Genomic DNA, 24,090 nt, shown 5'->3' on the forward strand with positions numbered 1-24,090 from the left:
AATGGGTGGCGAGCCTACAGGGGACGTCGTCGAGGAGACATGGGATAACTTTAAGGGAGAAGGTTGGTTGTAAGGCGGTGGGACTGGGTGAGGGAGACTCCCCTCTTCTTCAGAGGGAGGCAGTACAGGGGAAGCTGAACCGGCTGAGGGTCGAGGCGAAAACGCGGTCTGGCTTAGGAGGACCTTGGAGGTAGAATTATGAATGGCGCATGAATGGAGCCATGGAGGGGGGATCCTGACTAATCTTAGCTATTGATCAATGTAGGGAAACTGATCAGGGTGGCTAGGAGTTTCAGTAACAACCTGCCACACAGCTTGAAGAATTGCAAGTTTCAATGACCCTTCAGGGGGCCACTTGACTTTAAACTTTGGCCATTTTATTTTGCAGAGTGTCTGGAGCTTGCCTTTTTTAAGGCGGACTTTATAATCCTCTGAGGAACTGAGAGGAAAATTCTGCAGAATACATTGGAGAGGGCTTTAACTTTTATAAGGCTGGGAGGAAGTGTTTCTTTTTTTTTTTTTGAAGGCAATTTAATAAGATTTGAGCATAGATATTAAACTTAGCATGGACAGAGAAACATTTCTTGGGGGACTGGAGTAGTGAAAGAACAGAATCAACATGACTAGAAAGAGCAGAAAAACCACAACAGCTAATACTACTTGCTACATTACTGTAGCTTTAAGATTGAGGGAGGAGGACTAGAGCCAGCCTGAGATCTTCTGGGTCAGTTTGATCTAGGCGTTCTTCTTCTTCTTCTAGATCTGCACTTTAAGTACTTTTGGTGTCTTTATGACTTAAAGGCAAATAGCTTAAACTTAGCTTTTTCTTTTAAGGGTTTAAGGAGTGAGAGCAGAGCCAAGTCCTGGAGACGCTGAACTTGCTGTCGCACCGGAAAACGAGATGTGCGGGGTAGGGGGCAGGGACAAGGTGGAAAAGGACTACTCGGATCATTTTTAAGATGGGAGAGTAGCCACAGAGGAACAGAGTAAGAATCTAAACGAAGTAAAGCAGTACGGGCGTACATTTCTTTACATAGTGTTCTACTTCAGGGCACAGGAAAAGTTACAGAATGACAAAAGAGGTGAGTAAGGAAATCTGCAGGGTGGCTGTTTTGAACTCACTACTGGTTTAGTTTAGAGGAGGTCTAATCACTTGGACGTGGAGTGTGACGATCTAAATACTTACAACTTTCATGGTGCTAGAAATCTTAATCAGGCAAATGTTTTTCACACTTGTTCTTGTAACAACACTTGACTTGGTTCTGGCAGAAAAGACAGGACTGTGGTGGCCAGCCTAAATGATTGATGAGAAATTTCACCTCCTGTGACAAAAAATCAGCACTAAGGACTTTGAAGAAGTTTTTACTTAGATGTCTTGGGCAATATCACCGTCCTGACATGCAAAACTTTCACAACTACTAAGAAGACAATAGAAACTGAACAGAACAATCAATATAAAACAAACAATTGACTTTAAGGCATGTAAACAGTTATGACAGTTTCTTCCTTTTTTTTTTTTTTAATAGACAGACAAGGGGAGGGGTTCCTGTGATGGGATCAGTCAGATGCCTGCCTGGCCGCTCCCCGTGAGGGGACTTGGGCTCCTCTTAGCATTGGCAGGCCGGTATAAACTTCCGGCTCAGATTGAGCTATGCCTGATGCTGCCTTAAGCCTTATGAGGTCGCCAAGGAACCGCAGGTGAGGGTCTACTTGAACTCCGTCGCTTTCGCCGTAGAGCTACAAACTGGAGGACAAGCGCAAGCCCTTGTCCTCCCTCATTCATTCATTATTCACAAAGAGTTTATAACAGTTTTTTTTTTTCTTTCTTGGAGTTTCTTCAAGAAACTTGAAGAAGAGAAAGAGGAGAGATAGAAAAAGACAGAGAGAGAGAGAGAGTGACCGGTCTGCCAGAAACCAGGACTCAGTCCTCCAGCATCCTGGGATGTGGACTGAGTCAAGGGAGGACCCCTGTCAGGGCCACTTCCCTCCTAGAAAGAGACACAGAGGTGCCTAACAGAAAACCAGGGCTCTACCTTCTAGCTTCCTAGAGAAACGGGCAGAGTCAAAAGAGGGACGCCCTCATCAGGGCCGCTTCCCTCTTACTAGAACTGAAATCAAATCTGACCTACCTGACCTCGGGGTCAGAAGTTGAGGACTCAGAGGTGGAATTTTTGTGGGCATCCACACGGTAGTCGATCCGCTCTCCTCTGGAAGACGGTCACCTTTTGGGGACCTGAAAATTTTTTTTCAGGTGGCACCCCCACTACAAGCCGGCCGTCCTTCCGGGGGAGCCCGGAGCGAGCCCGGCTCTCGCCTGGTGGCGTTTCTCGCTCGGGCCTCCAAATGTTGTACTTGAGCGAGTTAGAGAAAATGCCACACTTTGACATGAATTAAGTCTGTTTATTTAGCTGGCGGCCAAGAGATGGCTAACTCTTAAAGTTCTCTTGGCCCCGAAGAAGGGGCTAGATTTTCTTTTATACTTCAGTTTAGAAAGGGGAAAGGGGTGTAGTTAAAAGAATTTTACAGAAGTAAAGTAGGCAAAAAAGTTAAAAGGATAAATTGTTACAGGAAAGTAAACAGTTCTAGGTCTAAGGGCTTGAAGACTATTACAAAGTGATAGACGTGGGGCTTTAGGCATTATCAATCGGACAAATTCCTAGGAACTGCGGATATTGCTCGCCACAGTATCTTATCAGTTAATTGCACTCTTAGATGTGCTAAGAGTCAGCTTGCACAAGTTAAGTCCTTGAGGAAGGGGCTGCCAGTGAAAAAGCCAAGATAAAGTCTGTCTAGCTCTCTTAGCTAAAAGAAAGTCAATTCAGGTAGAAACAAGGCTAAGTGATTAAAAGAAAAGGAAAGTCTAAGAACAAAGTTAATAAAAACAAGGTTAGGCATTACAGATGGGGTCATCCTGACATTCAGCACAGTGTTTGTCCTGAAACTTCAATGGAGTGCTCCTAGTTTGATAACTTGAACCATGCCAAATAAATTGAATTTCTCTTTCTTAACAACAGATGTTTGAATACAGCCCCGTGTCCCTCTCTGCTCCTTCCTGCCTTCCTCCTCTCCTCTTCCTTCCCTTCCTTTTCAAGAGCAGGGTTTGCAAGCTTTTACTTGAAAGCATCAGATAGTAAATATTTTAGAATTCGTGGGCCATACAGTCTCTTGTAGTAGTTAATCAACTCTGCCACCCATAGCATGAAAGCAGCTGATATAGGTTGAATATGTGTCCCCACCCAAATCTCATGTTGCAATGTAATCCCCAGTGCTAGAGGTGGGGCCTTGTGGGAAGAGATTGGATCATGGGGGTGGATTTCTCATGAATGATTTAGCGTCATCCTTTTGGTCCTGTCCTTGCAATAGTGAGTGAGTTCCTGCAAGATCTGGTTGTTTACGAGTGTGTAGCACCTCCCTCCTTACTCTCTTGCTCCCACTTCAGCTTCTGCCATCATTGTAAGTTTCCTGAGGCCTCCACAGAAGCTCAGCAGATGTCAGTGTCATGCTCCCTGTACAGCCTACAAAACTGTGAGCCAATTAAAACTCTTTTCTTTATACATTACCCAGTCTCAGGTATTTCTTCATAGCATGAGAGAACAGCCTAATCCAGCAGCCATAGACAATATGTAGCAAATGGGCATGGCTGTGTTTCAATAAAACTTTATTGACAAAAACATGTGCAGGCAGGTCAGATTTGGCCCATGGGCCATAGTGTCCCAACCTCTGCTCTGGAATATTCTCTTTAGCCTGGATGGACATCTCTAGGGTGTTTTTTTTTTTTTTTTTTGAGACGAAGTCTCACTGTTGCCCAGGCTGGAGTGCAGTGGTGCAATCTTTGCTCGCCACAACCTCTGCCTCCTGGCTTCAAGCCATTCTCCTGCCTCAGCCTCCCAAGTAGCTGGATTACAGGCACCTGCCACCACACCTGGCTAATTTTTGTATTTTTTAATAGAAATAGGGTTTCACCATGTTGGCCAGGCTGGTCTCAAACTCCTGACATCAGGTGATCCACCCATCTCAGCCTCCCAAAATGCTGGGATTACAGGTGCCTGCCGCCACATCTGGCTAATTTTTTTGTATTTTTAGTGGAGATGTGATTTCACTATGTTGCCCAGGCTGGTCTCGAACTCCTGATCTCAAATGATCCACCTGCCTCAGCCTCCCAAAGTGCTGGGATTACAGGTGTGAGCCACTGCAGCTGGCCTCTAATATATATATTTTTTTGACCATTGCTTATTTGGTTTGACTTTCATTTTCTTCCCCATTGTGGTAGTCATTTTCTGAATGCCTGTTAGTTTTTCCATCTCTCTCCTCTGTAGTCCCTAGAGTCAGATGAACTCCTCTGCAGGTGCAATGGTGTAACACACTCTAGTGCTGAATTTTGAGCAGGAGAAAGAGAGCAAGAGTGACCAGTACCCTTGGAAACTCTGGCCTCCTGAGAATTTGGTGTCTTCTCTGCAAAGGTTGCAAACCTGTTAACCCACAGGCCGGAGAGAGAGAGAAGCCAGAATCATGATCTCTTAAGCTTGAGTTTAATATTTGATGCACAGAGATCACTGAGTTTTTTGATAAGAATTAGAGGGGGAAGAAATGGCCACAGAGATCAATTTCTATCTCCAGGTGAGGATTCAGGAGATAATTCTGCCAACAGAAATTCCTGAGAACTGAGATGGGGGAAATCGCTGGTATTAGAAGGGTGAAAAGGTCAGTAATTAAGGCTACGACTGTGCTCTTAGAGGCAAAAGGAGAAAATGAGACTGCCAGGCATGAATAATGAGAAATCTTTGATGGAATTAGCCATGCAGAACAGATACTAAATGCATCCTCATTCTTCTCATAGTCAAAAGTTTTTGCTTAAGCTGGATGGGAAAAAGAGAATCCCATTTCACTAAGCATAAAAGAGGGGATTTTAGAGAAGGTCTCAGAAGAAAGAGATGTGGCGGTTTGGTGAAACTCACCAGAGGCTGAACCCTCTCCGGCATAACACAGGGATTGGGAGGAGCAGGGAAGCATTAGGCCAGGTGCATAGCCCAGTGCTGCTCTCTCTGGACTTGTTTGCTAGCTGAGCTCATCCATTTGCATAATTTTCAGCGCCATTTCTCAGCTGATGAGTCCTGAACTTTTGTCTTGAGGCTAGACTTCTCCTTCAAACAGCAGTCTTAAACACTCAACTTCTTTCTTGTTTTTTCCACTTGTCAACTCATGAACACCTCAACCTTCTTAAATCCAAAGCCAAACTCATGGCTTGGAGTGGTAGGTGATGGCTGTAATCCCAGTGCTATGGGAGGCTGAGGTGGGAGGATTACTTGAGGTCAGGAGTTTGAAGCCAGCCTGGAGAACACAGTGAGACTCCCTATCTACAAAAAAAAAAAAAAAAGCTAGGCATGGTGAAGTGCATCTGTAGGATCTGTAGTCCTGTTACATGGCAGGCTGAGGCAGGAGGATCACTTGAGCCCAGGAGTTTGAGGCTGCAAAGAGCTATGACTGCACCAATGCACTCCAGCCTGGTTGACAGAGCCAGAGTCCCTGTCTTAAAAAAAAAAAAAACAAAAGAAAAACTTTTTTTCCTCCTCCTCCTCCATGGGCTCTGTCCATGCCATCTCTGTTCTGTAAATGGCACCACCCCCTGCTGAGCTGCTCAAGGTGGTCATAACTCATGTGTTGTGCTAACTCTGCTTTTGCCCTCTTCTCCAGTCAGAAGTCCTGTGATTCTAAACTTTATCCAACTTGTCCACTATCTCTATCTTCACTGTCATTATCTTTGCCTAGGACACTGCTATCCCAGCTGGGCTACAGCAGTAGCCTCCTAACTGGTCTTAACTGGTCCTCTGCACCTGCTCTCCATGCTCAGCAATCCATTTCCTACCTAGCAGCTTCAGTGATCTTAAGGTGTCCATTGAGTCTCATTCCTGCCTTTCCTGCCCATGGCACATAGAATAAAATAGAGACCCCGAGTCTTCTGCCTGTTCGTGCCACCTCTCCAGCTCTCTCCTATCTCCTCCCCTTGGCCTACTCTATTTCAGCCACTCTGGCCTCCTTTTGTTTTCTTCGACTTTCAAACCTTTCTCCACAACAGGGCCTTTGCACTTGCTGCTTCAGCCTGGAATGATTTTCCTCTGCACCTCCCCAAATTAGACCATCCTTTGGGTCTCAGCTAAAATGATGCTTCCAGACAGCTCTTTCCTGACCCCTTTATCAAGTGGACTTCCCTGCTCTTCTCCACCTTAACCTCATTATTTCTTGTTGCGGGAACTCAGGGACCCCAAATGGAGGGACTAGCTGAAGCCACAGCAGAGGAACATAAATTGTGAAGATTTTGTGGATATTTATCATTTCCCAAATAATACTTTTATACTTTCTTATGCCTGTCTTTATTTTAATCTCCTAATCCTGTTATATTCATAAGCTGAGGATGTACATCACCTCAGGACCACTGTGATAATTGTGTTAACTGTACAAATTGATTGTAAAACATGTGTGTTTCAATAATATGAAATCAGTGCACCTTGAAAAAGAAGAGAATAACAGCAATTTTTAGGGAACAAGGGAAGACAACCATAAGGTCTGACTTCCTGCAGGTTTGGGCAAAAAGAGCCATATGTTTCTTCTTGCATGGAGTCTATAAATGGACATGCAAGTAGGACAGATATTGCTAAATTCTTTTCCTAGCAAGGAATATTAATATTAATACCCTGGGAAAGGAATGCATTCCTGGGGGGAGGCCTATAAATGGCCACTCTGGGGATGTCTGTCTTATGCAGTTGAGATAAGGACTGAGATATGCCCTGCTCTCCTGCAGTACCCAAAGGCTTACTAGGGTGGGGAAAAACTCTGCCCTGGTGAATTTGTGGTCAGACTGGTTCTCTGCTCTCCAACCATGTTTTCTGTTGTTTAAGATGTTTATTAAGACAATACGTGCACCACTGAACATAGACCCTTATCAGTGGTTCTGCTTTTGCCCTTAGCTTTGTGATCTTTGCTGGACCTTTATCAGTAGTTCTGCTTTTGCCCTTTGTCTTGTTCCTCAGAAGCATGTGATCTTTCTTAGACCCTTAGTAGTAGTTCTGCTTTTTGCCCTTTGAAGCACGTGATCTTTGTACCTACTCCCTGTTCTTACAGCCTCCCCCCCTTTTGAAACCCTTAATAAAAACTTGCTGGTCTGAGACTCAGCAGGCATCATGGACTTACTGATACGTAGTGTCACCCCCAGCGGCCCAGCTGTAAAATTCCTCTCTTTGTAGTGTCTGTCTTTATTTCTCAGCTGGCTGACACTTACGGAAAATAGAAAGAACCTATGTTGAAATATTGGGGGCAGGTTCCATCAATAGTTCTTTCATGGATTTACTTATTTTTTGTCTCCCTCCATACCCTAGAAACTCCTGGAGGGCAGAGCTGTGTCTGCCATCTTCATCATTGCATTACCACCACCCAGCACAGTGCCTGGCACAAAAGAGTTGCTCAATAAATAAATCAGGATGAATGAATAAACACATGGATAGGCACTTTGAACTACAGATGAGTTTAAATACTTTGTGTTTTTCTTAGTCAAACATGTGCAATTAAGCATGTGATAAATGATATGATGACCACATGTGTGTCTTGCCTGATGTTCTTTGCAATCACTAAATGAAGTCAATTGTGCCTGTTTTGACAGTTCTGTTTTCAACCTAATGATCTGTTTCTTTTAACTTCTGGCTGTTGGCTTTGTTTGGGTTTGTTAGCCTGACAAAGTGGCAGATATTGGTATTTGCTCTTTTGTTTAAATGTCTGTCATGAACTTTAAAAATGCCTTTGCTTTTGGTAAGAAACCCTAGTTAGGACAGTCTAGCAGTCAGGATGATTTGGGTTCTGGTGCAGTAACAACAATCCCCAAATCTCAGTGGATCCATGCAGTGAGGTATTTGTTTGTGTGTTTGTTTTTTGAGACAGGGTCTCACTCTCTCACCCAGACTAGGGTGCAATGGTGCAACCTCAGCTCACTGCAACCTATGGCTCCCAGACTCAAGCAATTCTCCTGCCTCCTGAGTAGCTGGGATTACAGGCCTGTGCCACTACTGTCTCACTAATTTTTGTACTTTAGTAGAGACAGGATATCACCATGTTAGCCAGGCTGATCTTGAACTCCTGACCTCAAATGATCCACCCGCCTTGGCCTCCCAAAGTGCTGGGATGACAGGCATGAGCCACCATGCCTGGCCACAGTGAGGCTTATTCTTGGTCACGTTGCATGTCTGGGCTGTGTTAGGGCATTGTGGGGTGGTCTGTTCATTGTGTTCACTCAGGGATCCAGGCTGACAAAAGCCCCATCTCTGCATGTGTCCTTGATCACTACTTCAGGGGAAAGGGAATGTGGTGGTTCACACAACACTTCCACCTGGAGGTGACTCAAGTTGCTCTTGCTCATGGTTCATTGGACAATACAGATCACAGAGACATGGGCAACTTCTCTGTGCCTGGAATGGGAATCAAAATAAGAATAGCTACATTGATTTTCCCTAGCTATTACACAGAAGGCCTCATTTAAACACAGTTACTTATTTGTGTTTTGAAGCTAATTTTTGTCCATCAAAATTCACAGAAGATATGTGCATTTCCAAGTTATTATTAAGCACAATTTTTTTTTTTTTTTGAGACAGAGTCTCACTCTCTTGCCCAGGCTGGAGTGCAGTGGCATGAACATGGATCACTGCAACTTATGCCTCCTGGGTTCAAGTGATTTTCGTGCCTCAGCCTCCCAAAGTGCTGTGACTACAGACATCCACCACTGCGTCTGGCTAAGTTTTGTATTTTTAATAGAGATGGGGTTTCACCATGTTGGCCTGGCTGGTCTGGAACTCCTGACCTCAGGTGACCCACCTGCCTCGGCCGCCCAAAGTGCTGAGATGACAGGCATGAGCTGCCACGCCCATCCTTGAGTATGATTTTTGATTGGGAGGGTCAGAGTTAGGGTTTTAGTCTGAGGACAGTATGATGTGAAGGTGAAAAGCAGAGCTTGGCTGTGAGTTTGCTGGGATGCCTGTGCTGCTTCTACAGTTCTTTGGCTGTGTGACCGTCACCTTTGGCAAGTTCCTTTACGTTTCTATGTGTTGGTTTCCTCATCAATAAAATGGAAAAACTAATCATAATCATAATATCTATTGGTGTTGGGATAGCCCAGTGGTTGACACATAAGGACTCAAAAATAGGTTTTTGTTTGTTTGTTTGTTTTTTGAAAGAGTCTTGCTCTGTTCCCAGGCTGCAGTGCAGTGGTGCAATCTCAGCTGACTGCAAACTCTGCCTCCTGGGTTCAAGCGATTCTCCTGCCTCAGCCTCCCAAGTAGCTGGGATTACAGACGCCTGCCACCACTCACAGCTAATTTTTGTATTTTTAGTAGAGATGGGGTTTCACCATGTTGTCCAGGATGCTCTCGATCTCTTGACCTCATGATCCACCCACCTCAGCCTCCCAAAGTGTTGGGATTACAGGCATGAACCACAGTGCCCGGCTCAAAAATACTATTATTAATTTTGGGGGGTAGTTACTATATTTTGTGAAAATCAGAGTTCAGTACCTTGTAACACTGGGTTGGGATCTATCCCAGAAGGAACAGGCTTCTAAAGAGGAAGGCATGGAGAGAGGGGCAAAATTTCAGTGTATGTTGTAATGACTTTAGGTATATGGACCTGGGGCTGAGTTCTAGCTGGGGCCACCAGGTGGCAAGGTGGACTTTGCTAAATTCTATCACTTTCCCGGGCCTCAGACTCACTTGTTACAAATGGGGTTAAAGCATCCCTCTTTCAGGGCTAAGATAAAGATGATTAAGTAAGAGGGAATGAAAGTAACTTCCATCAACTGTCAAAAGTATTCGTTTAAAATTTTTTTTTTTTTTGAGATGGAGTCTCTCTCTGTTGCCCAGGTTGGAGTGCAGTGGCATGGTCCCGGGTCACTGCAATCTCCACCTCCTGGGTTCAAGTGATTCTCCTGCCTCAGCCTCCTGAGTAGCTGGGACTTCAGGTGCATGCCACCATGCCTGGCTAATTTTTATATTTTTAGTAGAGACGGAGTTTCACCATGTTGGCCAGGATGGTCTCCATCTCTTGCCCTTGTGATCCACCCACCTTAGCCTCCCAAAGTGTTGGGATTACAGGCATGAGCCACCACGTCCGGCCCATTTAACTTCTATATTACTTTCCTGTTGGTGGATTTACCAGTGCAAACTGAGCAGCTTAAAACACCACCCAGTTATTATCTGTTTTCATGAGCCAAGGGTCTGGGCAGGGTTTAACTGGGTCTTCTATTCAGGGTCACAATACGGCAACCAGAGTGTCAGTTGGAGCTGGGGTCTCATCGGATGCTCAGTGTCTTCTTCCAAGCTTATTCAGTCTGTGAACTGAATTCAATTACTTACAATTGTTGAATGAAGGCCCTCAACTCCTAGAGCTGCCACCTCCAAAGACAGCTCACAGCATGGCCGTTTGTGTCTCCTTGGAGGCTAAGGGTTCAATCTCTGAAACTTCACCTTTAAAAGATTCACCTGATTAGGTCTGGCCCACCTAAGATCATCCTGCTATGGATGAACTCAAAGTCAGCTGAGCAAATGTGCTTAACAAAGCAAGTGTGACCATAATCACATTTGCAAAATCCCTTCCTCTTGGCCAAATCGCAAGCTCTGCACACACTCAAGAAGAGGAGATGATACAGGGAGCAGATATAAGGGAGTGGGTCTCTTGGGGGCTGTCCTAGAACTATTTCCATTACAACTTCCTTTCTCGAGGAACAGCAGGCCTGGGGAGAGATGATCACAGATGAGCGCAGCCCACAGGTGGTGAGTGCCTGGTGCTGGGGTAGGATGCAGGAGGCTGTGAAGCAAGTATGAAAAGCCTTCTCTGGGCTGGGTGCAGTGGCTCACACCTGTAATCCCAGCAGTTTGGGAGGCCGAGGTGGGTGGATCACGAGGTCAAGAGATCGAGACTATCCTGGCCAACAAACATGGTGAAACCCCGTCTCTACTAAAAATAAAAAAATTAGCTGGGCATGGTGGTGCATGTCTCTAACAACCCAGCTCCTCAAGTGAGCAATTCCTGTCCCTTTTAAGGGCTCACAACTCTAAGGGGGTCCACATGAGAGGGTCTTGATCTATTGACCAAGCAGGGAGTACGTGACTAGGGGCTGCATTCAGCAAACCCCATCTCTACTAAAAATACCAAAATTCAGCAAAGTTTCAGGATACAAAATCAATGTGCAAAAATCACAAGCATTCTTGTACACCAATAACAGACAAACAGAGAGCCAAATCATGAGTGAACTCCCATTCGCAATTGCTTCAAAGAGAATAAAATACCGAGGAATCTAACTTACAAGGGACATGAAGGACCTCTTCAAGGAGAACTACAAACCACTGCTCAATGAAATAAAAGAGGACACAAACAAATGGAAGAACATTCCATGCTCATGGCTAGGAGGAATCAATATCATGATAATGGCCATACTGCCCAAGGTAATTTATAGATTCAATGCCATCCCCATCAAGTTACCAATGACTTTCTTCACAGAATTGGAAAAAACTACTTTAAAGTTCATATGGAACCAAAAAAGAGCCCACATTGCCAAGTCAATCCTAAGCCAAAAGAACAAAGCTAGAGGCATCACACTACCTGACTTCAAACTATACTACAAGGCTACAGTAACCAAAACAGCATGGTACTGTTACAAAAACAGAGATACAGACTAATGGAACAGAACAGAGCCCTCAGAAATAATGCCACACATCTACAACTATCTGATCTTTGACAAACCTGACAAAAACAAGCAATGGGGAAAGGATTCCCTATTTAATAAATGGTGCTGGGAAAACTGGCTAGCCATATGTAGAAAGCTGAAACTGGATCCCTTCCTTACACCTTATACAAAAATTAATTCAAGATGGATTAAAGACTTAAATGTTAGACCTAAAACCATAAAAACCCTAGAAGAAAACCTCAGCAATACCATTCAGGACATAGGCATGAGCAAGGACTTCACGTCTAAAACACCAAAAGCAATGGCAACAAAAGCCAAAATTGACAAATGGGATCTAATTAAACTAAAGAGCTTCTGCACAGCAAAAGAAACTCCCATCAGAGTGAACAGGTAACCTACAGAATGGGAGAAAATTTTTGCAATCTACTCATCTGACAAAGGGACCTATGACTTTCTTATAACCAAAAGAATATGGCAGAGGTGATGGGATGTAGTGATTACGTTAGATAGGATGTTAAGTTGTCTGGCTAGGAGGCTGTCTGTCTTGCTGGCTTTGAAGATGTGAGCTGCCATGTCATGAGCGGCCAGATGGAGAGGCCCATGTGGCAAGAAGCTGAGGGCAGCAAGAAACTGGGGCCCTGAGTCCAGCAGCCTGCAAGGAACTGAATGCTGCCAACAACCAGATGAGCCTGGAAACAGATCAAACACCAGTCAAGCCTCCAGATGAGAACTGAGCCCTGGCTGACACTATGGCTGCAGCCTTGCACTGAACCCAGCTGAGTCACGCCTGGATTCCTGACCCACAGAAACCATGCAGTGATGACTGTCTGCTGTCTCAAGCCACAAAGTTTGCAGTAATATTGTTGCACAGCAATAGATAACTAATATAAAAACTGTCCTACATCATGTACATTACTGAGCGAAATGTAGAACCTGGATTTGAGCTCTGATTTCAGAGGTGTGGTCTCAGTCTCCCCAGGGAGACCTGTCCTGGGAGACAGTTATGCCAGGCTGTGATGCTGTGATGATTGTTCTCTTCCTACCCAGAAGCTTTCAATAGGCATGTCAAGCATGTGACCCCAGCTGCATATACCAAATGTATTTCTGACAAATGCCAGGACATCGTGAGCTTTCTTGTTTTACTGAGAGCTCCATAAAGGAAGGACTATCTTTGTCTTTTTTTTTTTTTTTTTTTTTTTAAGACTCTCACTGTCACCCAGGCTGGAGTGCAATGGTGCGATCTCGGCTCACTGCAGTCTCTGCCTCCTGGGCTCAAGGGATTCTCCAGCCTCAGCCTCCTGAGTAGCTGGGATCAAAGGTGTACATCACCACACCCAGCTAATTTCATATTTTTGGTAGAGATGGGGTTTCGTCATGTTGGCCAGACAGATCTTGAACTCCTGGCCTCAAGTGATTTGCTTACCTCGGCATCCCAAAGTGCTGGGATTACAGGCATGAGCCACTGCACCTGGCTTGTCTTATTTATGTTATGTCTACGTGAAACAGCCCAGTGGTCAGCACACAAAGGGGTCCAAACGTGAAAGGAAAGAGCAAACACAGGGGAAACATAGGGGTGTTCAGAAACAGTTCCCAGGTTACTGTCTGTTTCAATATGTACAGTCCTCGAACCCACCTGCAAGATTCTGACTTGGCAGGTGAGAGTTGGAGATGGGGGAGCTACCTGGTTATGAGGGATCCCAGTTCATTTTGAGGCAGCTGGTTGTTAGACTGCATTGTAAAAATTACCCCCCAAAGATGTGAAAGGATAATTTATGTATTTCTAATAGAGTTTCACCATGTTGGCCAGGCAGGTCTCCAACTCCCAGCCTCAGGTGATCCACCTGCCTTGGCCTCCCAAAGTGCTGGGATTACAGGCATGAGCCATTGCTCCTAGCAGTATTTTTTTAATGAGGCAAAATTCACATAACACATAAGTCCCTGTATGAAACCATATACTTCGGTATCATTAAATACATTCACAATGTTAAGCAATCATCATCTCTGTCTAGTTCCAAAACATTTTCATTAACACCCCCAGCCCCCCCAAAAAATAACCCTGTATCCAATCAAGCACTCTCCATCCCCTCCCCTTTCCCCCAGTTCCTGGCAACCACTTACCTGTTTTCTGCCTCTACAGATTTGCCTATTCTGGACCTTTCACATAAATGGAATCATGTAATATATATAATAACCAAAAGGTAGCAACAACCAAGATGGCCATTTGGTTGATGAATGAATAAACAAAATGTGCTGTATCCATACAGTGAAAGTATTGGTGCCTACCACATGTGGATGGACCTTGGAAACATCACGCTAAGTGAGAGAGAGCCTTGGTATTGTCTCATCTCCCCAGGAGATTCCAAGGTGCAGCCAAGGTTGAGACCCAGTGACAAGCAATGGATATGGTTGGGTGCAGATGAAATAAGGCAGCCAGGGGCAGGAGGGATGTCTCATTGAAGTTGACTGTTTGTGGATGCCTAGCAGGGGTGGGGATGAGGGATGATAACAGCAACCCCAATCCCAACACAGCGTGACCGATTTTATCTTCAGCCAGCTGATACGCCTCATGGGATTTGGACACGACATCTCTGCCTCCCAGATTCAAGCAATAACTCCTGCCTCAGCCTCCTAAGTAGCTGGGATTACAGGCATGTACCACCACACCTAGGTAATTTTTGTATTTTTAGTAGAAACGAGGCCTCATAATGTTGCCCAGGTTGTTCTTGAACTTCTGGCCTCAAATGATCCACCCACCTCAGCCTCCCAAAGTACTGGGATTACAGGCATGAACCACAGTGGCAGCCTCCAAATTCTACTTGAAGTTTGACTTTCCACCTCCAGAAAATCCAAACCTTTGCCCTAGTCACAGTGGGACACCCCGGAGTTAATTTCAGAGAAATGTGGTTTTAAAAACAACTCCAGGCCAGGCGCAGTGGCTCACGCCTATAATCTTAGCACTTTGGGAGGCCGAGGCGGACGGATCACGAGGTCAGGAGATCAAGACCATCCTGGCTAACACGGTGAAACCCCGTCTATACTAATAATACAATAAATTAGCCGGGCGTGGTGGCACAAGCCTGTAAGCCCAGCTACTCGGGAGGCTGAGGCAGGAGAATCGCTTGAACCAGGGAGTCAGAGGTTGCAGTGAGCCGAGAGCGCACCACTGCACTCCAGCCTGGTGACAGAGGGAGATTCCGTCTCAAAATAAATAAATAAAACCCTCCGATATGAACACCAAACTAGGATCATTCCATTGACTTCCCTCCACCAATCAGGGGGAGTGATGGTGATGGTGCATGAGTGTCTATTTGCATTGAGTCTTAATGGAAAATAAGGTTGTGTCACTCAAAGGAAAAACAAATCACAGCCCAGACTGGAGCTGTGGATTAATAACATGGCTGAGTGTTGGTACAGGCTTTCCACAGCAATATTAAAACTGAAAAAATCAGCAATGAAGCTCCCAGCCACATTTCTGCCTAATGATTTGGGGGAAAACAACAGAGGCACTCCTCAACTTTTCCTTCACTGCACAAAGTGGATTTGGCTGGAAATGCCAAATGTGCTTGTAGCTGGGATCTTTCAAATGAAAGCAAGCTGGGAGTCAACCTCCTGCAGCCGCAGGCCAGAAATGGGTTGAGACCAAACTATTATAGTAACACTGGTGCACATCTAAACAGATTTAACTCCCTCCCAGCAATCCAGATTAATTTAATATGCTTTCTTAATGGCATTCCGCATTTCTCATTAAAGCAAATGAACGTCCATCCCTCTGTGATAAATTAGGTCAAAAAACATTCATATATTTAGGGCACAGGGAAGGAGGAGTTGTTGGCTGTTAAAAAAAAAAAAAAAGTCCTGCAAATGGCCTTTCAAAGTCTAGACATCTTCATCATCAACACAAACATTCCTCTTCACAAAGGGACCTCAAGTAACCTTAGGCTGGAGGGCCCACCTGCGTATGTCTTTCTTCTCATTCTTTCTTACCTTTCCTCCAGCCCACACAACTCACATTCAGTGACCAAGTCACGTAGGTTTTACCTCCTAAATCTCTCATATCCTTCACTGCTCAGCCACTCTCCTGACACCACCATAAACCAAGCCACCATCACCTCCAGCTGTTTGACTGCAAATGCCTCCAGACTGGCCTCTGCTTTTCCCTGGCCCTGTGACAATCTGCACTCCTCACAGGGACCAAAGCAATCACTTCAGAAGGTGCATCCAAACAGATCACTCAACTTTCAATGGCTCCCTCTGCTGTGTGGGTTAACAATGATAAAAGCTCGGCCGGGCGCGGGGGCTCACGCCTGTAATCCCAGCACTTTGGGAGGCCGAGGCGGTCGGATCACGACGTTAGGAGATCCAGACCATTCTCCCTAACACGGTGAAACCCCGTCTCTACTAAAAACACAAAAAAATTAGCCGGGTGTGGTGGCGGGCGCCTGTGGTCCCAGCTACTCCGGAGGCTGAGACAGGAGAATGGCGTGAACCCGGGAGGTGGAGCTTGCAGTGAGCCGAGATCGCGCCACTGCACTCCAGCCTGGGTGACAGAATGAGATTCCATCTCGGAAAAAAAAAAACAACAACGATAAAAGGTCACCTTTTCTGAGCACACACTATCTCAGTCCATCCCTACATCAGCCCTTTATTTCACCAGTGGGGAAGCTGGGACAGAGAGTAGTTACGTGGGATGCCCAAGGTGGGACCACTCGTGTGAAGTTTCCACACCCTAATGTGAGACCCTCTATGACCTAGCCCCTGTCTTTCTCCAGCCTCATTTCCTGATTCTCTCGCTTGCCCTGCAGGCTTCAGCCACAGAAACTTCTTGAAAGTCCCTTAAATCTGGCTGAGCGCAGTGGCTCACGCCTGTAATCCCAGCACTTTGGGAAGCTGAGGCGGGTGGATCACCTGAGATCAGGAGTTCGAGACCAGCCTGGTCAACATGGTGGAACCCCATCTCTACTAAATATCCCAAAATTAGACACGTGTGGTGGACGGCACCTGTAATCCTAGCTACTCGGGAGACTGAGGCAGGAAAATCACTTGAACTCGGGAGGCAGAGATTGCAGTGAGCCAGGATCGCACCACTCCACCCAAGCCTGGGCGTCAAGAGTGAAAGTCCGTCTCAAAAAAAAAAAAGTCCCTTAAATCTGCTGTATGCCTATCAACCTCAGGGACTTCACTATGCTGTTCCTCACCCTGAAATGCTGTTCCTCATTTCTCCACATAGTGAACTCATCCCACCCCCTAGGCCTCTCCTTAAGTGTCATCTCTTCCAGGAAGATTTTACTTTTTAAATATAACTATTAAAATATAATTCAGGTACCTTATGATTTGCCAATTTAAAGTAAACAAATCAATGGTTTCAGTGCATTCACAGAGCTCGGCAACCACCATCATGATCAATTTTAAAACATTGTCATCACCCCAAAAGAAACCCTGTATCTATGAGCAGGTACCTGCCATTTCCTCCTCCCACTAAGCCCTGACAATTTACTTTTTTGAGATAGAGTCTCTGTCACAGGCTGGAGTGCAGTGGCACAATCTCGGCTCACTGCAACCTCCACCTCCCGGGTTAAAGCAATTCTCCTGCCTCCCGAGTAGCTGGAATTACAGGGCTATGCCACCACGCCCATCTAATTTTGTATTTTTAGTAGAGACAGGGTTCCTGTCTTCATAGATTTGCGTGTTCTGGACTTTTCATATAAATGAAATCTTATAATATGTGACCTTTTCTGACTAGTTTCTTCTACTTAGCATAATATTTTCATAGTTCATCCGTGTTGTAGCACGTGTTAGTACTTCATTCCTTTTGATGACTGAATAATATTCCATTGCATGGTCAAACCATGTTCTATTTCTCCACTCATCAGTAGACAAGCATTTGTGTTGTTTTCACTTTGGCGCTATTATGAATAATGCTGCTATGAGCATTTGTGTACAAGTTTCTGCACGGACATATATTTTCATTTGTTTCATAAACTGGAGTGGAAGTGGTGGGTCATAGAACTCTGTGTTTAAGCTTTTGAAGAAGTGCCAGACTGTGTAAGAAAGAAAGCCTTTCCTCACCCTGTGAGACTGAGCTCCCTCTCTCCATTTATACATTCTCTTTATGCCCTTTGCTTCTCTTTCAGAGCAATTCACTTTGACCTGGGTCACCCTCAACTTAAGGCTCATAACTCCCCTAGATCCTCAGGGTCCACACTAAATGTGATGAAATATGATGCAAGCCACATATTTACTTTTGCATTTTGTAGTAACCACATTTTAAAAAGTAAAACAAAAGAAGTGAAGGTAATTGGAATAATATCAGAGATTTAAACAAATCTATCCGAAATACCAGGTCTACAAGTATAAAATATTTTAACATTAACAAAATACTTTGCTTTCTTTTTATATTAAGTCTTCACAATCTAATGTGTATTTGACACTTCTCGCACATCTCAGAATGATGGCAGCACCCCATATGGGGGGCCCTCCCATGATGCCAATGATGGGCCCTCCTCCTCCTGGGATGATGCCAGTGGGACCTGCTCCTGGAATGAGGCCGCCCATGGGAGGCCACATGCCCATGATGCCTGGGTGCCCAATGATGAGACCTCCTGCCCATCTCATGATGGTGCCCAGTCAGCCCAGAATGACTCGACCAGACAGATAAGGATAGAGGGGAGGCCTCATACATCAGTGTTGTTTTGTTGTTGTTATTGTTGTGTTTTCTTTGTTTGTAATGTTTTGTTTTGTTTTTGAGACACAATCTTCCTCTGTCGCCCAGGCTGGAGGGCAGTGGCACGATCTCAGCTCACTGAAACCTCCACCTCCCGGGTTCAAGCAATTCCCCTGCCTCAGCCTCCTGAGTAGCTGGGACTACAGGCGTGTGCACCATGCCCGACTAATTTTTTTTATTTTAGTAGAGACAGGGTTTCACCATGTTGGCCAGGATGGTCTCAATCTCCTGACCTCGTGACCCGCTCGCCTCAGCCTCCCAAAGTGCTGGGATTACAGGTGTGAGCCACTGCGCCCGGCCTATATGAGTTTTATATTTACCTGCTCCCTTCACCAGGAGATCATGCTGCTGTGATGCCGGCTTTTCTTAACAGCATAAGGAAGACTTGTCCCCTTGCCCTATCAAAGAGAATAGTTTTGGAGGGGAGAAGTGGGACAAAAAGATGCAGTATTCATTTCTATTGGGAAATATGAAAATAAAATTGTCAACTCTTTTAGTTAAAAACAACAACAAAAAAAAGGAAACGAGATGTGGGGCTGCCACATGCAATATCGTGCATTAAAAGGATCTTCTACTCTGGAGGAAAATATCTTTGCTGATGCCAGACCAACCTAACACAAAGACCTTTTGGTTTTTTAATGTGACTGTGTTTTATTTTACAATGTGTAATTCACTTTAGAAGGGAAAAGTACCTGTCTGGGGAAAACTATTTAATTTCCTGCATTTATTTAGAATATTGGTTAATGTTATTCTGAAGGGAAATATCTCTAACAAGTGAGTGGCCCCCACATAGACACAGCTCATGAGCTCACGGGGCAAAGGAATTGAACAGCAGCCTCCTAATAGCTAGCCTTCTTTGTGGTATGGAAATAATTATCAGCATGTAAAAGACTATATATATATTCAACAATTCTGACCCCCTGCAAAATTCAAATCTACAACTGATTTGCTTCCCCTGGGCTCCTGAAAACAACTTTGTCAAAATTGTTCAGAAATAAAATCGGCCAATCGTTGCCCCTTGGGGACGCAGGACAAAGCAAATCAGCCATGACCAATATGGAGTCCGCCGTACACAATTACATGCAGACCTGCAGGACATCGAGTCCCTGCTATGGTCCCTCCCCAGTCAGGCCCGCACTGCCTGGGCTGCAGCTAGAAGCATTCAGGCACAAGTGCATTCAACAAATACTTATTTAATTGCATTGGTGGCTAGAGGGCTGTTGTTGATTAAGGTACATTAATGGATCCATTTCCTCCCTGTATCCAAGACTCTGCCATTTGTCTCTGCAGTGCCTCCCGCTGAAGAATCGGAGTATATTTCTCCAGCCCCTAATGTTGGGTTTAGTCATGTGTCTAGCTTTGGCCACTGGAATATTAATCTGCATGACCAAAAACTTGGAAAGTATGCATTCATTTGTGCTCACTCACTCCTGCTGTCACCATGAGAACAAGCCCAGGCCAGCCTGCTGCTTCCAGCAGAAGATAAGAGACACCAAGAGCAAAGTCGAGCTTCCCAGACATGCTCATGCTAGATTAACCAATCCTCAGCTGACCCATAGCTCCATGAAAATAAATGACTGTTGTATTAAGCCACTGAGATTTGGAGTGACATGTTATACAGCATTTTGTGACAATAACTAACTGATACAAGGGTCACCATCCTTTATCTCTGTAGATTTTTGCCAATTTTTAATAGCTAGATGGAGATCTTCTAGTTGCCTTTATTTATAATGAATAAGACTGTAGAGCTACTTTGGCCTGACACTACCAGTTACCTACCCAGAAATTCAGAAATACTTTCTTCTCCAACCCACCCCAACCAACCATTACCATTTTCTTTTTTTTGAAACGGAGTCTTACTCTTTGCCTAGGCTAGAGTACAAGTGGCACAGTCAGAGCTCACAGTAACCTCAAAATCCTGGTCTCCCCTGATCTTCCCCTTCAACCTCCTACGTAGCTAAGACTACAGACATGTGCCACCATGCCTGGCTAATTTTTTTATTCTTTGCAGAGACAGGGTCTCACTATATTGCCCAAGTTGGTTTCAAACTCCTGGCCTCAAGCAGTCCTCCTGCTTCACCCTCCCAAAGTGCTAGGATTATAGGCATGAGCCACCACACCCAGCCTCTTCTTCTTTTTAAATAGAAACCCTATTTTATTCTGACAGCGGGTTGCTTACTTTTTTTTTTTTTTAAGAAAAAATTGGCCCAGCCCCAGGGAATAAATTGTGACCAGTCTAAACAGGGTTGGCAAACTATAGACCAAGGGCCAAATCTGGCCCTCTGACTGTTTGTATAAATTAAGTTTTACTGGAATAAAAGCAGGTCCATTCATTTATGCCTTGTCTACATATGCTTTTAGACTACGATGGCACCACTGCGTCACTGCAACAGAGGTTATCTAGACCAAAAGCCTAAAATATTACCGTTTGCTTCTTTATGGAAAACATTTGCCATTCCCTAGTCTAAGGTTGAGATTCTGAGCTTAACATTTTAGCCTACCCCCACTTACCAGTGACTGGCTCAAAACAAGTCTGTGATTCCATTCTGACTGTTCTACTGAGGGAAATCCCCCTTCTTCTCATGCAGAGCTGATGAGGGTAAGTGGTATTAATAGGACATATGCTCAGGTTTTCTGAAAAATACTTTTATCTAGAAATGCATAGGAATATGCTGGTGCCTGAATGTACCATCTGGGGGCCTGGAGATTGACTCACACTGCCTCCAGAGCTAGCGCTCACACTTACTACTGAGAGGCCTGAGGAAACACCTGCCTACCCACCACCGGAACCTGCGCATGTCACCTGGAGAACTAGAGATCAGCCTGCCACACACACCACCCAGGAGCCCAGTGGCGCACCTGCCCACCTGGCCCAGTGCTGCCACTGCCAGCAACCAAAGAAGCCACCTGGAGGCCCAGGGATTGGCCCATGCAGACAGGCTATCATCAGTGCCCACATACACTGCCCATGGTCCCTAGTATTGACACACCTGGTCTACCACCACTACCACTGATGCTGAAGGACAAGACTTCCAGGCATCTCCATCCTCAGCAAAGCCTCACCACAGCCTCCAATAACAACTGCAGTCTGGCTGGGCATGGTGGCTCACACCTGTAATCCCAACACTTTGAGAGGCTGAGGCAGGAAATCATGAGGTCAGGAGTTCGAGACCAGCCTGGCCAACATGGTGAAACCCTGTCTCTACTAAAAATACAAAAATTAGCTGGGCGTGGTGGCACGTGCCTGTAGTCCCAGCTACTCAGGAGGCTGAGGCAGGAGAATCGCTTGAACCTGGAGGCAGAGGTTGCAGTGAGCTTAGATTGTGTCACTGCACTCCAGCCTGGTGAGAGAGCTAGACTCCATCTCAACCACAAACACACAAACAAAAAAAACTGCAGTCTAAGCCACTGAATAACTCACAGACACCACTCATGCCAATTACAGCTGAAGAAATCATATGCAGACTATACCACTGTGCCCACCCAGAATCAAAGCCAAAGTGTGATATCCAATGAACACTGTAGATACAGCTATAAGAAAAGCTCTTTCCCATATAAAAGCCAACCCAGAAAATTGGAAGAAGTGACTGCTATGTCAGAGTCACAGATAGTCACATAAGAATGCAAGAAATATTAAAAAGGAAACATAACATCGCCAAAGAAGCACAATAATTCTCCAGCAACAGATTCCAATGAAAAGAAAATCTATGAAATACCTGAAAAAAATTCAGAATAATGATATTAAAGAAACTCAGGGAGATATAAGAGAGCACAGATAATGAATACAAAAAAATCAGGAAAATAATTCATGATCTGAATGAGAAATTCAACAGGGATAGACAGCATAACAAAGAACCAAACACAAATCCTGGAGGAGATGAAATCATTGAAAGAAATACAAAAGATAATTGACAGCTTTAACAATAGGCTAGATCAAGCAAAACAAAAGAATTTCTGAACCTGAAGACTAGTCTTTTAAAATAATTCAGTCAGACAAAAAGAAAGAAAAAAGAATGAAGCAAGGCTACATGACATATGGGACACATATGTGACCAAAAACTGAAATTCTGGGAGTTCTGGATGGAGATGAGATGGGTAAAGGCATAGAAAACCTATTTAATAAAATAATAACTGAAAACTTCCTGAAAGCTTCCAAATACAGGAAGCTCAAAGATTACCAAATAAATACAACTCAAAAAGGTCTTCTCCAAGGCACATTATGGTAAAATTGTCAAAAGACAAAGAGAAAATGCTAAAAACAGCAAGAGAAAAGCATCAAGTCACTTATAAGAGAATCTCCATCAGGCTAACAGGGGATTTCTCAGCAGAAACCTTTCAGGCTAGGAGAAAAGGGGATGTATACTACAAGTTAAAAAAAAAAAAAAAAAAGTAAGGCAAAAATGCTATACCCAGCAAAGCTATCCTTCACAAATGAAGAAGACTGGCACTGTTTCTCACATCTGCAATTCCAGAGACTCAGAAGGCTGAGGCAGGAGGATCCTTTGAGCCCAGGAGTTCAAGGCTGCAGTGAGCTATGATCATGCCACTGTACTCCAGCCTGGGTGACAGAGTGAGACTCCATTGCTTAAAAAAGAGAAAAAATATTTCCGAGATAAGCAAAAGACTGTTTGTTTGTGTCTTGTTTGTTGTGGTCCTACAAAAAATGCTTAAGGGAGTCCTACACTGGGAAGAAAAAGAACAATTTCTACCATCATGAAAATACATGAAAGTATAAAACTCATGGTAGCGCAGACACACAAAGGAGAAAGGATTCAATCATCACCATTAAAGAAAACCACCAAACTGCAACAATAAATAATGAGAGAAAAAAGGAACAAAGGTGTATTAGTCTGTTTTCACACTGCTGATAAAGACATAACTGACTGAGACTTGGCAATTTACAAAAGAAAGAGGTTTAATGGACTTACATTTCCACGTAGCTGAGGAAGCCTCACAATCATGTTGGAAGGCAAGAAAAAGCAAGTCATGTCTCACATGGATGGCAGCAGGCAAAGAGAGAGCTTCTGCAGGGAAACTACCCTTTTTAAAACCATCAGACCTTGTGAGACATATTCACTATCACGAGAACAACATGGGAAAGACCTGCCCCCATGACTCAATTACTTCCCACCAGGTCCCTCCCACAACATGTGGGAATTCAAGATGAGATTTGGGTGGGAACAAAACCAAAGCATATCATTCTGCCCCTGGCCCTTGCCAAATATCATTTCAAAACAAATTATGCCTTCCCAACAGTCCCCCAAAGTCTTAACTAAGTTCAGCATTCACTCAAAAGTCCACAGTCCAAAGTCTCATGTGAGACAAGGCAAATCCCTTCCACCTATGAGCATGTAAAATCAAAAACTAGTTAGTTACTTCCTAGATACAATGGGGGTATAGGCATTGGGTAAACACAGTCATTCCAAATGGGAAAAAAATGCCAAAACAAAGGGGCTACAGGCCCCATGCAAGCCCAAAATCCAGTGGGGCAGTCAAATCTCAAAGCTCCAAAATGATCTCCTTTGACTCCATGTCTCACATGCAGGTCATGCTGATGTAAGAGGTGGGCTCCCATGGCCTTGGGAGAAAAAAGGCCACAGCTCCACTCCTGTGGCTTTGTGGGTATAAACCCCCTCCTGTCTCTTTCACAGGT

General features: G+C 44.6%; 1 pseudogene; it reads left to right on the plus strand.

The window, feature by feature from the left end:
• SNRPCP7 (small nuclear ribonucleoprotein polypeptide C pseudogene 7) lies at window positions 18,162-18,940 on the plus strand (annotated as a pseudogene).

Source organism: Homo sapiens, chromosome 12, assembly GCF_000001405.40.
Source record: "Homo sapiens chromosome 12, GRCh38.p14 Primary Assembly".
NCBI lineage: Eukaryota > Metazoa > Chordata > Mammalia > Primates > Hominidae > Homo > Homo sapiens.